The sequence below is a fragment of the Homo sapiens genome, chromosome 2 (genome assembly GCF_000001405.40).
Source record: "Homo sapiens chromosome 2, GRCh38.p14 Primary Assembly".
Lineage (NCBI taxonomy): Eukaryota > Metazoa > Chordata > Mammalia > Primates > Hominidae > Homo > Homo sapiens.
This window is the reverse complement of record NC_000002.12, coordinates 208,258,159-208,273,951: the sequence shown is the minus strand read 5'-3', so window position 1 is coordinate 208,273,951 and position 15,793 is coordinate 208,258,159. Positions and strand designations below refer to the sequence as shown.

Below are 15,793 nucleotides of genomic sequence, written 5' to 3'. Positions count from 1 at the left end.
TTAATGAGACGTTTAAGAATTTTTTCAGGTGTCAATAAATTCTTTCACTACCGAGGTAAGAGTTTTATTTACTCTAAACAGTACCTGACTATTTCAAATAGTATCTTACTATTCCAAATAGCAGGAAAGTTAAGTCCTGCTATAAACAACCTAGGAAACACAATGACTGTGGAAAAATCTAGCATATAGAAGGGAATGAAATAAGAACACTGTTTTACCTAATGCTGAAGAGCGCCGCTGGAGTTCCTCATTAAGCTGCTTTTTATAAGGTGTGGGTGACCTAACAGACTGTGTCCTCGAAGGGAGCTGAGGGCTGGTCCAACTTCCACTCAAAGGCTGCTGTTCTCCCTGGCCTCCTTCTGCTCTCTCTGTAGCAAGGGAACGCTTGGCATTATTTAAAGACTGAGAGTTCAGCAATGAGAAGGAAGTAGATGAAAATTTTCAGGCAACAATGTATGCATGTATTATATGCGTAACTAAAAATTTTTTTTTTCCTTTTTCATTTATTTAATTTTAAATACAAGCAGGTTCTCCCTATGTTGCCCAGGCTGGTACTGAACTCCTGGCCTCAAGCAATCCTCCCACCTCAGCCTTCCAAAGTGCTGAAATTACAGGCACAGGCCACTGTGCCCAGCCTAGATTTTAAAAAAAGAAAATTCAAAGAAGGAGGCAAAATTACAGGCCAATAATCACACCCTTGGTATATATGATCTCCTATTTGTTTCACTTTTCATTAGAAATTTCTTGAGCATACTAAAGGAAACAAAATGCAAGCTTCATATGAAGGCAGGGATTTTTTGGGTCTGTTTACTGGACAGATCCCTTACACTATCAAAACAGTTCCCAGTACAAAGGAGGTACCCAATAAACATTTGCTAAATAGAAATTTTATTGTCTTATGACAACTAAGTGTAATGTGGTATGACAAATGGGATCCTAGAATATAAAAAGAACAACTGGTAAAAACTCAAGAAATCTAAATAAAATACGTAATTTAGTTAATAATCTATCAATAACAGTTCATTAATTGTAACAAATGTACCAGACTAATGTAAAATGTTAATATGAGGAAAACTGGGTATGGGAGTATACGGAAATTCTATCTTCCCAATTTTTCTGTAAATCTAAAACTCTTCTAAAAAATAGTTTTTTTTTTTAAGTATCATTGTCTTAAAAATGTACTAAAGGGTTTTCATAGCACTTTAAACATGATCATAAATAAAATTCAGTTAATATTATTAAAGGTTCTACTGAGTTAATTAACACTATTAACCTCTCCAAATTCTATACAACAACAAGAATTACTTTCTAACATACTTCAAGTAATACAGACAAACAAAAGACAAAAGATATAGGCCATGTTTTTTAATTCTTGTCCCAAGTAAAAGACATATTACTTAAAAAGAGCTCATTTTAAAAATATCTTTCCATTTGATGTCATTACATGTACACCTTAGTCTAACAGTTTTAAGTCAACAAGAAGCCTACTGACAGCTTCCAATTTTTGAAAAATATAAACCTTTCCTCCCATGTACTGTTCCTTTCAGTTTCATTGCTTTAAATATTTTAGCTATTAACCCCCAAAAGAACAAAGTCCATTCTATGGACTAACTTAAAGCATATTAAGAAAAAAAGAATAACAAAAAAAGACGACTACTTTCTCTATTAAAAGAAATCTCCTTTTAACATTTAGTTTTTTATTTTATTTTTATTTTTTGAGATGGAGTCACGCTCTGTCACCCAGGCTGGAGTACAGTCGCGCAATCTCGGCTCACTGCAAGCCCCGCCTCCTGGGTTCACGCCATTCTCCTGCCTCAGCCTCCTGAGTAGCTGGGACTACAGGCGCCTGCCACCATGCCCGGCTAATTTTTTTGTATTTTTAGTAGAGACGGGATTTCACCGTGTTAGCCAGGATGGTCTTGATCTCCTGACCTCGTGATCCACCCGCCTCAGCCTCCCAAAGTGCTGGGATTACAGGTGTGAGGCATCACGCCTGGCCTAACATTTAGCTTTTAATCCAGACCTTTAGTTACCAATAATTAATGATATTACAGTGAAAATTCTAGCTTTCTCTTCAGCAGTAAACCCTGGAGACCTACGATTAAAGCTATCGCTTGTTAATATTTCACTTTCTTACAGACCCAGCATTAAAGCTGAACAGAGTACTAACCACTATATGATCATGGTGAGCCACTGGAGACAAAGGAGCATTTCAAACAATCAGACCTGAATCAAACCTCTTATCTTTAATAAGTCTTACCTTTGTTAAAACGAAAGAGATTTACAAAAGAACTATAAGCTGATTTAAAAGGGGGCTCATCTTGATCAGGAGTCAAAGGTTTAAAGTGTGTGAGATGAGAAGGACTAGTAGGAGATCGAGGCAAATCATTAGCAGAGTCCAGTGTTGGGGACGTCTTATCATCTGTGGCCATTTCATGAGTCTGAAAAACAAAAGAAACAAGCAAAAATCTAAATTCCTCAGGAAGCTCAAAAGTTGATTCCAAACAGCATCGAAATATCCAGAAAATCCTATTCTGTGAAAAGTCAGACTATGAAAACAAACAGTAAATAAATCTAGCTTCATATATTCCAAAGGACTGAAAACACTGCTATCTAAATCATAAGAGCCCCAATCATCTACAACTATGATCTGATAGCCAACTCAATTTTAAACATTACTATTCAAATTATAGAAAAGATTTAAATTAATAAAAATTTGGAGGTAAAGCATTAATGTGAGCAGGCAGAAGAAAAATAAGCATTTTCACATCATTTCTAGCTCTTTCATTTTAAGATGTTTCGGAAGAAGGGATACACAACAGCTTTTTAAAGTTATGGGGGGAAGCTAGTTATACAACACACACATAAATTCTTCAGTCTTATTTTCCTTATTTCAACTTTTTTTTTTTTTTTTTGGAGATGGAGTCTTGCTCTGTCGCCCAGACTGGAGTGCAGTGGCGTGATCCTGGCTCACTGCAACCTCCACCTCCCAGGTTCAAGTGATCCTCCTGCCTCAGCCTCCTGAGTAGCTGGGACTATAGGTGCGCAGTCACCACGCCCAGTTAATTTTTTGTATTTTCAGTAGAGATGGGGTTTCACCATGTTGGCCAGGCTGGTCTCCAACTCCTGACTTCAGGTAATCCACCCGCCTCAGCCTCCCAAAGTGCTGGGATTACAGGCATGAGCCACCATGCCTGGCCTCAACTTTTATATTTTAAAAAGTAATATAAAAATCATTATATTTCTAAGACGAGGACATGAAAGTCATTCTCTAATGACATGTCTACAAAACTTTAACAATTACCTCAAGCTACACTTCATGACCTATGACAACTACTCAAATCAACAAGTTGTTCCCCACTATCTTTGCTCCTAAACACATGAACCTGGTTTTTCCTCCCTTTAAGCCTCAATTCATAGACATTAAGATGAAGATCTTCTTAAAGGGCTTTGTTTCTAAATAACCAAAAAATCATATTTCAACCAAAGCAATAAAGCTAACCACATCACCAGATGGAAGTTACAGAAAAGTACTATTTTCTGCCATATTGATTTATATTTCAAAGAGAAGAACCATGGATAACTCTAATCATTAAAATAATGTAGACTGGTCCAGGCACGGTGGCTCACACCTATAATCCCAGCACTTTGGGAGGCCGAAGTGGACGGATCACCTGAAGTCAGGAGTTCGAGACCAGCCTGGCCAACATGGTGAAACCCCATCTCTACCAAAAATACAAAAATTAGCTGGACATGGTGGCGGGTACCTGTAATCCCAGCTACTCAGGAGGCTGAGGCAGGAGAATCGCTGGAACCCAGGAGGCGGAGGTTACAGCGAGCCGATCACGCCACTGCACTCCAGCCTGGGCAATAAGAGCAAAACTCCATCCACAAAAAAAAAAAAAAAAAAAAAATACTGTAGTCTGGCCCAGACACGGACCCTGCAAGAGATGGGTGCCCCCATCCGCACACTGTCCTTTGGCCACCAGACATCATGCCTCCCAAGGATATTCTGGGAGGAACCAGCAGGGCCCTCCATCTCCAAAGGTGCTGCCAAGCCAGCAGCAGCATGGGCCCCTCCAGCCAAGACCAAAGCTGAGCCAGCTATCCCATCCCCCAGGCCCCTGAGAAAACCAAGGAGCCCCCAGTTGATCTCTCCAAAGTGGTGATCAAGTTTAACAAGGATCAGCTGGAGGAGTTCAAGGTGGCCTTCAAGCTGTTTAACTGAGTGGGGGATGGCAAGATCCCATACAGCCAGTTTGGGGACATGATGGGGGCCCTGGACCAGAACCTCACCAGTGCCAAGGTGATGAAGGTCCTGGGGAACCCCAAGAGTGATGACCTGAAGTCCCGGCATGTGGACTTCAAGACTTTCCTGCCCATGCTCCAGGCAGCAGCCAAGAAGCAGAACCAAGGCACATATGAGGACTACCTGGAGGGGCTTCATGTGTTAGTCAAGGAGGGGAACAGCAAAGTCACGGGAGCAGAGCTCAGACAAGTCCTCACCACCCTGGGAGGGAAGATGGCTGAGGAGGAGATGGAGACTGTTCTGGCAGGACATGAGGACAGCATCAACTAGGAGGCCTTCCTGAAACACTTCCTAAGCCTACTGAGCTCTGTAGATCCCTAGGGCCCAGACAATGGGCCCCCTGCAGGCAGAAGCATGTTCCAGCCACCAGGAGGCTACCTACTGTTTCAAAATAAAGACAAGGTTCCTCCCTTGGAGAAAACAATATATATACTATAGTTTATAATCTAGTCTCCACTTTACAAAGAGGACATTACAGTCTCGGTAAAATGCTTTTCACATTCAAAATCATAGCTACCATCTCATTTTACTCTTACAATCCTGGAAGGCACACACAGCTGGCTTTATGACATTTTACCTTTGAGGCAACCAAGGTACTCTGAACCTAAAACAACTTTCTTGGGGGTCACACAGACATTAGTAGAACTGTCACTATACCCCAAGTCTCACCCCAAAAGTATTACCTAAATCAAAATTACTTTTGTAGCTCTTCACACTTCCCTTTTAGCCTATCCGCGTTCTCTAACTACTTAAGGCTTTGTCTGATCAATAATTTAATTAATAAATTAAGGCAGAAATGAAACCACTGACTTAAACAGAATTTTGGCAATACATGTTTATTGGGGGGGGAAGAAAAAGAGGAAGAGGAAGGGGAAGGAAAGAGGAAGGAGAAAAGGAAGAAGAAGGGGAAGGAAGGTTTCTAATATCTTCCACTGAGAATAATCATCAACAATCCTTCTGAAGTGTCATGACAATTCAGCAAAAAGTGTTGGGAAGTAAGCTGATAACTGAATAAGTATACACTCAAAAAAAAGTTTGTGTTTTTTTTATATTAAAAAAAAAAAGAGGCCAGGCACTGTGGCCTCATGTCTGTAATCCCAGCACTTTAGGAGGCTGAGACGGGAGGATCGCTTGAGGCCAGGAGTTCCAGACCAGCCTAGTCAACATAGCGAGACTTCATCTCTATTTTATTTAGGGAAAAAAAAAAAAAAAAAAAAAAGAGCTCTGGAGAGAAACGATAATGTGATGGCCGTAACAACCACCCCTGGAAAACAGCCTACATTCTACTTTGACACAAGTAATGTCAGAGGCAGAGATGACATTCTGCCTAAAGAGTCTTAGAATTACTTCTAAAGGTTATCTACACAAAAATTATACTCGGCTTTGGAAATAAGAAGATAAAAATTCCCATGAAAACACTTAGCAAGTGTAGTCTCTGAAATATAAACCCAATCATATAGTTAACCCTAATAATTACATAATGACACTAGGGCCCTGAAAAAATTATCTTATAACTCTCACTCTTTAGCAGCTTAACAACGCTTTAAAATATAAATTAGGACTCTTTCCTGAGTGGTAATCAGTCCTATTAACCTACCTACCCAAAGCCTTCTGATATATCACCAATACTTCACCATTTCTAATTAAGGCTACTAATATATGCAGACCTACTACAAACTATCAGAAGCCAGTCAGTAAAGGCCGGACGTGGCTGCTCACACCTGTGATCCCAGCACTTTGGGAGGCCGAGGCAGGAGAATCCCTTGAGCCTGGGAGGCGGAGACTGCAGTAAGCCGAGATCACACCACTTCACTCCAGCCTGGGCGAGGGAGGGAGACCCCCGCCCGGTGGCTCACGCCTGTAATCCCAGCACCTTGGGAGGCCGAGGCGGGTGAATCGCCTGAGGTCAGGAATTCAAAACCAGCTTCGCTAACATGGTGAAACCCCGTCTCCCCTAAAAATACAAAAATTAGCCGAGTGTGGTGTCGCGCGCCTGCAATCTAGCTACTCAGGAGGCTGAGGCAGGAGAATCGCCTGAACCCTGGGAGGCGGAGGTTGCAGTCGGAGGAGATCGCGCCACTGCACTCCAACCTGGGGGACAGAGCGAGACTCTGTCTCTCAAAAAAAAAAAAAAAAAAAACTGGCAATGTAATAATTTAGGAAAGCTGAATATTGGAAATGTTAGCTTCTATCAACAAAGATTTCTTGTTCAATTTTTGACCAACACGCTTAAAGGAAAACCAGAGCAGGATCCAGAAAGCAGAAAAAGGGAGAACACAGGAAATTAGCCTTGCTCCACAGAAGAGATTTAACCTACACAATCTTTGTCACAAACACAAAAGAAAGAACATTTTTTGTAAGAAAACTGACAGAGTGGGAGTTTTGGAGTGCCAAAAAAGGGGCTCAAATAAATCAGAAATAAGTACATTATACCAAGCGACTACCTCTATTGTCAACACTGGACATATTTTACAACACAGGATGCACTGCGTCAATAGTAGATAATGAATCATGTATACACATCAGATACACACGAATAACTTGCTTTATACAGAATTCTAGCACTTCTTATATTTCTTGACTGTCTTAGGAATAACCTCTGATTGGGCAGAAAACCCCTAAGTCCTAAAAGTTTCCAACACATTCCATTCTCATCCTTTTGTTGGGAACATTCTAAGCAAAGGGTAAACACTAATTGGGAAATAATGCTCCTCCTCAAGAAACTCCAAAACCTAAGTTGAAATGGAATCGTCTCAAATAGCAGAGGCAAGCATTTAAAAAGACAAACACTTATTTGAACCCCCACGGTTGGTATCGTTTCTGCAGCTCATGAACTTTCTTTTCCAGCCTACGGATGCGCCTCTGACAAACTCAGAACTCATGCACTCAGAGGGAAAAGTAACTGTACTCTTCCCCTCCTAATTAAGTTCAGGCGTAAGGGTCGAGAGAGAGGCAAAGGAACTTCAAATGTTTCCAAGGAAATCTCAAGGGCCCCACCCGGCTTCCGTCCCCACTCGCCAGACAAGGCAGCCGGGGAATAGGGAGGACAAGCTAATTCTAAAGCCAGATTCTCTGCCCTTCCTTGCTCAGCCGGCAGCCAGGCCCTAGCCCCCGACTGCGGAGCCCTGGTTCTCACTTTCACCTCAGCTCTGGCCCTGGAGCTCCCCATACCGGCCTCCTTCCCATGCTGAGCCCCAGCCGGCCAAGCTCCAGGCCCCCTCCCTTACCTGCGCCTCCTGCCCCGGCCGCGCCGGCTGCCCCCCGCCCCAGCCTCCGCTTCAACGGCTCAGCCCCCGGAAGTCGGCCCCCGAGAGCGGCGGTGGGCTCCTCAGGCCGCGGACGGTTGCGGCAGGAAGCGAAGCTGCTTACATGGTTGATGCGGCTTCTCGCTTCCCCCCCCCAAGACTCCGCCCTCTGTTTTCCTGTCCCCCAGTCCGAAATCTTTCCCGGGGGCCGGCTCCTCCCAGCCCGGCCGACGCTCGGATCAGATGCTCAGGCAGAAGGAGTCCAGCCCAGATCGAGTCGTCCTGATCTTTTGGCCGAGATTAGGCCGCTTCAGCCTTCCTGGAAGAAGCCAGGGGGACTGCGCGCGTGAGCGTCACGCATGCGGGGTCAACGGATGGGTGCTTGGTGCTCTGGGCACTGCAGGGGTGCTGGCTGGACTGCGGTTACCGTATGTGTTCGATACTGTGGGCACTCATAATATGTTATTGCTTTGTTGTAGACAGTTCACTCGTGTAGCACTGAACCGGAGTTAGCGATGACTCTGTTTCCAGACTTGCATGACTCCACCAATAACCAGCCATATGATCTTAAGCAAATTGCTCATTTATTTAGGCCTTAGACCTCTGGTGTGTAAAGTCGGATTAATAAAAGGACTCACTTCTTAATACTTTTTTGAGATTAAGTAAATGCACTTAAAGCGAATGGCACAGTTCCCTGACCCAGAGTAAGTGATGTCGGCTTTATAGTTAATTTTTTCATTTAGGTGTTGTGTTGCAAATGCTGATGCAAATAAAGTTACCAAGCCCAAGCCCTATCTTGTTCAGCTTGGCTAGAGTTATTCGTCATTTCTGTCCTGCTGAGAGCGCAGTGCAGTTAACTGCAGAAAACATGCTCGCCGCAGTTGTGGGGCTTGGTAGGGGAGGATGGAAAGCAGACGAAACCTAAAGGGAAATGCAGTTTTAAATTCTGTGAGTCCTTTTCCTCAAGAGTTTTGTCAAATCCCAGCCCAGTTTTCCTGGAGTTGGAAAGCACCATCGAAACCTGCAGGTTGAGTCCAGTGCAAATCCCAGTCACCATCCTCAGCTGGGCCCTTCAGCAATCTTTCTGGGAGTCTGTAGTCAGCTTCTCCCATTCCTTATTACTGCTGCGTCAGACCACCACCACGACCCCCACATTACCTTGACCATCATTCTCATCAGAGAATCATATTTTATACCCACGTGAAAAATCCCAAGGTATCTGGGCGTGACCCTTAACAAGCTAATTCCCCACACACCACAACATTTACCTACATCCACATCTGCCCTGGTCTGCCTTTCTCCCTCATCTCTCTGAGGAAGGGGCCTCTTCTTCCCCAGCTCAATCCTTTTGGCCCCCAATTCACCCTCTCCTGTCTGGGAGCTTGCACCGTATCTGCAACCTCCCCTTTTCCAATGACTCTGCCTCCTCAGCCCATAAAGATGCTCAAGTCTCTGCCTTCCTTTAAAAAAATTTTTTTTAAAAATTTAAGATAAGCAAAAAAGGCCCTCGTAATTATCACCCTATGTTAATATTTCATAAACCTACAATAAAGTATGAAATAGGTACAGAGATCATATGAAAAGAATAAATTGCCCAGCCACGACGACTGCAGTGTATGTAGAAACTCCATCTATGGTTTAAAAAAAAAAAAAAAAAGTGCACTCCGCAAATATTTTTGAGTCCCTAATTTAACCTGCAGTGTGTTAGTTATAGAAGCACTACACTAAGGATAGAATTATGAACGTATCCCACTGCTTCACTTGACTAGCCTAAAAAATAAAAATATATGTGAACATTACACAGTCCATGTCCTCAAGAAGCTTACCGTCTAATATCTATATTAGCTTACAGTTTAATTTCTGTGGAAAAGAGATTGAAAACTGGGCTACTGTTTTTGCAAAAGAAATCATTTTAGATTCTCACTTCACACTAGACATCCAAAATTAATTCCAGATGAATTTTATCTGTAGAGAGATTATTTGTCTGTGTATATATCCTCCTCAAAAACTTTCATTCAAGCACAGATTTAGGATTCTTGCTGAATCAATTATTGTTCGATGATATTATACTTCTATTCCTCTGTATGTATTAGTTGAATTTTACTGCAACTAATAGCGTTCCATCTTTTTCTTTCTTTCTTTATATTGGTTAGTATGACTTTGGACTCATTTTTTTCCAACATGTTATAGTTCATTACTGCCACTATTCATTTCTGTGCTCCAGGTGTCCCCGCCTTGGCTGGTGTGAGCCCCTTCCAGCAGACTCCTGAGTCCATTTGACATGCCTCCATTACCTTTTGAGCACATCTTACTTTTTGTTCTTTTTCTCTCTCCGCCACCCCTTACCCCTGGCAACCACCATTCTACCCACTACTTCTATGAGTTCAACATTTTTAAATTCCATATATATGAGATCTTGTGGTATATTTCTGTGTCTGGTTTATTTCACTTAACATAATGTCCCCAGGTTCATCCATGTTGTCACAAAAGACAGAATTTCCTTATTTTTTAAGGCTGAATAATGTTCCACCGTATATATATACCACATTTTATTTTATTTTTTTGACATGGAGTCTGTCACCAAGGCTGGAGTACAGTGGTGCAATCTGGGCTTACTGCAATCTCCACCCTCTGCCCCAACCCCCCCGACCTCCACCCCACCCCTATTCTCCTGCCTCAGCCTCCCGAGTAGCTGGGATTACAGGCGCCTGTCACTGCACCTGGCTAATTTTTGTATTTTTAGTAGAGACGGGGTTTCACTGTCTTGGCCAGGCTGGTCTTGAACCCCTGACCTCGTGATCCACCTGCCTCAGCCTCCCAAAGTGCTGGGATTACCGGCGTGAGCCACAGTGCCCAGCCCCACATTTTCTTTATTCAGTTGTTCATTGATGGACACTTAGGTTGATTTCATATCTTGGCTATTGTGAATAATGCTGCAATAAAGATGGGAGTGCAGATACCTCTTAAAAATAGTGATTTTGGCTGGACACGGTGGCTCGCGCCTGTAATCCTAGCACTTTGGGAGGCCAAGATGGAAGGATTGCTTGAAGCCAGGAGTTCAACACCAGCCTGGTCAACATAGCAAGACCCCATCTCTATAAAAAGATTTTTTTTAATTTCAATAAAAGAAAAAATAGTGATTTTATTTCCTTTGGATATATACCCTGTAGTGGGATGGCTGGATCACATGATAGTTTTATTTTTAAATTTTTTGGCAACTTCCATACTGTTTTCCATAATGGCTGTACTAATTTGCATTCCTACCAACAGTGTGCAAGGGTTTCCTTTTCTCTATTTTCTCTCCAATCTTGTTATCTTTTGTCTTTTTGATATAGCCATTGTAATAGGTGTGAAGTGATATCTCTCATTGTGGTTTTAATTTGCATTTGTCTGATGATTAATTACGTTGAACTTTTTTTCATATACCTGTTGGCCATTTGTATGTCCTCTTTTGAGAAATGTCTATTCACATCCTTTGCCCATTTTATAATCAGATTATTTGCTTTCTTACTATTGAGTTGTTTGAGTTCCTTATATATTTTGGATATTATCCCTTTATCAGATGTATGGCTGGCAAATATTTGCTCCTGTTCTCTGTTGTCTCTTCAGTCTGTCTATTGTAACCCTTGCTCTGTAGAAACTTCTCAGTTTTATGTAATCCCATTTGTCTATTTGGCTTTTGTAGCCTGTGCTTTTGGGGTCATATCTAAAAAATCACTACTCAGACCAATGTCATGGAGCTTTTCCCTCTCGTTTTTTACAGTTTCAGGGGGTACACATAACGTCTTCAATTTATTTGAGTTGATTATTATATATGGTATGAGATAAGCCTCTAATTTCATTCTCCTGCATATGGATATCCCATTTACCCATTACTACTTATTGAAGAGAATATCCTTTCCCTATAGTGTATTCTTGTCCCCTTATTGAACAATTGACTGTAAATGGGTAAATTTACTTCTGGACTCTTTATTCTTTTTTTCACTTTTTATTTTTTTTTAAAAATGAGCATCCTATTAACTGATAGACTCTTTATTCTGTTCAGTTGGTTTGTCTGTTTCTCTGCCAGTACCATGCTGTTCTGATTACTGTAGCTTTGTAGTGTATTTTGAGATCAAGCAGTATGATGCTTCTAGCTTTGTTCTTTTTGCTCAAGAATTCTTTAGCTATTCAGCCTCTTTTGTCATTCCATAGGAATTTTAGACTTTTTTTTCTAGCTGTGCGAAAAAGTCATTGGAATTTTTATAGGGATTGCATTGAATCTGTGGATCACTTTGGACATTTTAACAATATTAATTCTTTCAACCCATAAACATGAGATGTCTTTTTATTTATTTCTGTCTTCTTCAGTTTCTTTCATCAATGTTTTATAGGTTTCAGTGTGCGGGTCTTTTACTTCTGTTAAATTTCTTTCTTTTTTTTTTTTTTTTTTTTGAGATGGAGTCTCACTGTGTCACCCGGGCTGGAGTGCAGTGGGGCCATCTCGGCTCACTGCAACCTCCGCCTCCCAGGTTCAAGCAATTCTCCTGCCTCAGCCTCCTGAGTAGCTGGGATTACAGGTGCCCACCACTACGCCCAGCTAATTTTTTTGTATTTTTAGTAGAGACGGGGTTTCACCATGTTGGCCAGGCTGGTCTCAAACCCCTGACCTCGTGCTTCGCCTGCCTTGGCCTCCCAAAGTGCTGGGATTACAGGTGTGAGCCACCACACCTGGCCCGTATTTATTTCTAAGTATTTTAATATATTTTTGTAGCTATTGCAAATAGGATTGTTTTATTGATTTCTCTTTCAGATAGTTCACTGTTAATATTTGGAAACAGTACTCATTTTTGTATACTGATTTTATATCCTACAACATTACTAAATTTGTTTATTCTAATAGTTTTTTGGTGCAGTCTTTAGGGTTTTTTATGTATAAGATCATGTAACCTGCCAGGTGTGGTGGCTCACGCCTGTAATCCCAGCACTTTGGGAGGCAGAGGTGGGCAGATCATGAGGTCAGGAGTTCGAGACCAGCCTGGCCAACATGCTGAAACCCCATCTCTACTAAAAATAGAAAAATTAGCCAGGCATGGTGGCGCATGCCTGTAGTCCCAGCTACTCAGGAGGCTGAGGCAGGAGAATTTCTTGAACCCAGGAGGCAGAGGTTGCAGTGAGCCGAGATCTCACTGCTGCACTCCAGCCTGGGTGACAGAGTAACACTCTGTCTCCAAAAAAAACAAAAAAATCATGTCATCTGCAAACAGGTACAATTTAATTTCTTCCTTTTCAATTTGGATGCCTTTTATTTCATTCTTTTGCCTAATTGCCCTGACTAGGACTTCTAGTACTATGTTAAATAGAAGTGGCAAGAGTGCATGTCTTGGTCGTGTTCCTGACCTTAGAGGAAAAGCTCTTTTTTACTGTTGAAATGATGTTAACTGTTGGTTTGTCATATATAACCTTTATTGTGTTGAGGCATATTCTTGCTATACCTAATTTGTTGAGAGCACTTCCTTACTTTTTGACCCAGCAGGCTCATCTTGAACTTTCCCTGCCCCGGGCCTAGAATCAATCAGCTCTCAAAGGAGCACCAATTCCTTTTAGTAGGGATGCAGACATGTTTGTAAAAATTATGAAACTAAGTTCCAGCTAGGATGCAATAAAATTAGCACTCTCTTACACTGCATGTGAAAATATAAATTGGTATATTCCCCCCTAGAAAATGATTTGGTGGATTTAACAAGCACCTTAAATATATTTATACTTCATGATCTAATAATTCCCATTCTAGCAATGTAGCCCAAAGAATTGATCTGTGTTTTAAAAAAGGAAGATAAAGACATTTGTCACAGCCATTTAAACATTAAAGAAACAAAAAGGAAACATCCAATACAAACCAACACAAATGACATGAAAGCAATATAATCAAATCCATTCTAACCAACACAACCAACATGGAAGTAATACAAATAATTTTTTAAAATATGTAGACATCAATAGTATGTTGACTAAGACTTTTAAAAGCATTTTTCCGCCAGGCGTGGTGGCTCACGCCAGTAATCCCAACACTTGGGGATGCCAAGGCGGGCAGATCACTTGAGGTCAGGAGTTCAAGACCAGCCTGGCCAATATGGTGAAACCCCATCTCTGCTAAAAATACAAAAATTAGCCAGGCGTGGTGGCCCGCGCCTGTAATCCCAGCTGCTCAGGAGACTGAGGCAGGAGAATCACTTGAACCGTAGAGGTGGAGGTTGCAGTAAGCCAAGATCGTGCCACTGCACTCCAGCCTGGGTGACAGAGCCAGACTCCGTATCAAAAATAAAAAAGTGTTTTTCTTCACTTTACAATCAACCTTCTTGAAAAGGTTTTCTTGTCTCCCTTTCCATACCCCCCATTCATGCTTCAGTCCCCTGTAGTATGGCTTCTATCTTCTGATCCTCGTAGAACCATTCCACTTCTATCTTCTTCATCCTCATAGAGCCTTTTTACTAAAAGTGCATTCAAGAGGTTTTCCTTTTGCCAAAATTATTTTCAGACCCTGTCTTTTTCTTTTAATCTCTCTGTAGTACTCCCTCTTTTTTGAAAACTTTCTTGTCTGTTGGCTTCTATGACATCAGGCTCTGCTGATTCTTTGTTAACCCCCAGACTCTCCTTCTCATTCTCTTTGTGGGGGCTCCTTTTCCTCTACCTGACCTTTAAGACGTAAGTGTCCCTCAGAGTTCTCACTGAGATTGACTTTTCTCCTTACTTTGAAGTCCTAGATAATATATACTCTGTCTTCAACTGTTATCAAGACATGCTAAAGATTCCCAAATTTCTTTCTCCAGCCCACCCTTTCTGAACTGCAGATGAGGCCAACTGCCTCCTGGACATCATCTTGCTGTCCCATGGCATCGCAAAGTTAAGAAACCTTAAACTTAACCCATGATCTTGGCCATCAGATCTGTGACTCTATGTATATTCCTTCTTTGTTGAACTGCACCTTGTCTCCCAAACTCCAAATTCAGAATTCCCTTTTGCCGTTCTCTCTCTCATAATCTTCATGGACAATCAATGACCAAGCTCTATTCATTCTACCTCAGTTTTTTTTCGATAATCAAAATGAAAATACAACCACATTAGAATATTTATGAGAATCCCATTATCTGGATGAGTGTGTCAAAACCAAATGCTTACAGAAATTTCATGGCCTGTGTTTCCATTTGTGTTTATAACAGTATTTGGGGCCAGACTATTAAAATACTCAGATTCTTTTACTGGCTAAATGAAAGACAAATGATGTCAACACATGAAATATTAACCAAATAGAGAGGGGTGCTGGGCTAAATGAACCATCATATGTCATCCAGTAAAATAGGCCGGCTATGTAAAAAAGAACGTGCACATGGCCAGGTGCGGTGGCTCACGCCTGTAATCCCAGCACTTTGGTAGGCCAACACTGGTGGATCACGAGGTCAGGAGATCGAGACCATCCTGGCTCACATGGTGAAACCCCATCTCTACTAAAAATACAAAAACAAAATTAGCCAGGCGTGGTGGTGGGTGCCTGTAGTCCCAGCTACTCGGGAGGCTGAGGCGGGAGAATGGCGTGAACCCGAGAGGTGGAGCTTGCAGTGAGCTGAGATTGCGCCACTGCACTCCAGCCTGGGTGACAGAGCGAGACTCTGTCTCAAAAAAAAAAAAAAAAAGAACCTGCACATAACCAGTGAACTTCATCTTCCCATTTCAAGAAGTAATTTAATTTCAGCTAAATGTTATTTGTTGTATTTAAGTGATATTAATGGTGATGTATTGTTTTCTACTTTTCTTTCTAGTCATTTTATCTATAAATTTTTTTATTTTACAGTTGTATGAGCTGTCAGCCTAAGGAGCATATATCTAGTTTTATGCATATTTATAGCAATATTTTAATGTCAATCCTAGGGATCTGAAAAATAATTTTTTTAAGAGATAGGATCTCGCTTGGTTGCCCCAGTTAGAGTGCAGTGGTGCAATTATAGCTCACTGGAGCCTGCAGCCTCGAATTCTTGGGCTCAAGTGATCCTCCCACTTAAGCCTCCCAGGTAGGTAGAACTATAGGCGCAAGCTTGCCTGTCTAATTTTTGTTTGTTTGTTTGTTTGTTTGTTTTGTATAAAGAGGGTCTCCCTATGTTGCCCAGGCTGGTTGCAAACTCCTAGCCTCAAGCAATCCTCCTGCCTTGGCCTCCCGAAGTGCTGAGATCACAGACTTGAGCCACTGCACCCAGCCAGATTTTTC

General features: G+C 41.7%; 1 protein-coding gene and 1 pseudogene across 40 annotated transcripts in view, besides 3 other annotated features; one reads left to right on the top strand and one right to left on the bottom strand.

Moving 5' to 3' along the window:
* The window catches only part of PIKFYVE (phosphoinositide kinase, FYVE-type zinc finger containing), a 92,691-nt gene extending 84,795 nt beyond the window's left edge, over positions 1 to 7,896 (bottom strand). For 30 of the 40 annotated variants that reach the window (XR_007070607.1, XM_011510778.4, XM_011510782.4 and 27 more), the window contains exons 1-3: positions 7,537 to 7,697; positions 2,261 to 2,441; positions 219 to 368 (exon numbers count right to left, since the gene is read on the bottom strand). Coding sequence is in view for 38 of the 40 variants with exons in the window: in XM_011510778.4 (XP_011509080.1) it covers positions 219 to 368; positions 2,261 to 2,432 (322 nt within the window). In the remaining 2 variants the exon portion in view is untranslated. Of the gene's footprint in view, positions 1 to 218; positions 369 to 2,260; positions 2,442 to 7,536 lie in introns of those variants that run through there. The other 10 variants (XM_011510789.3, XM_047443689.1, XM_017003571.2 and 7 more) reach the window with 3 other exon arrangements.
* Positions 3,928 to 4,724, top strand: MYL6BP1 (MYL6B pseudogene 1; annotated as a pseudogene).
* Positions 3,976 to 4,477: an enhancer, noted in NCBI's record as "H3K4me1 hESC enhancer chr2:209134199-209134700 (GRCh37/hg19 assembly coordinates)". NCBI's record gives its function as "activates a minimal SCP1, AML or CMV promoter by ChIP-STARR-seq in naive H9 embryonic stem cells {active_cell/tissue: H9 hESC(naive)}" and the evidence as "EXISTENCE:reporter gene assay evidence [ECO:0000049][PMID:30033119]".
* Positions 7,411 to 7,680: a silencer, noted in NCBI's record as "silent region_12289". NCBI's record gives its function as "represses an Ori minimal core promoter by ATAC-STARR-seq in GM12878 lymphoblastoid cells {active_cell/tissue: GM12878}" and the evidence as "EXISTENCE:reporter gene assay evidence [ECO:0000049][PMID:35858748]".
* Positions 7,811 to 7,860: an enhancer, noted in NCBI's record as "active region_17051". NCBI's record gives its function as "activates an Ori minimal core promoter by ATAC-STARR-seq in GM12878 lymphoblastoid cells {active_cell/tissue: GM12878}" and the evidence as "EXISTENCE:reporter gene assay evidence [ECO:0000049][PMID:35858748]".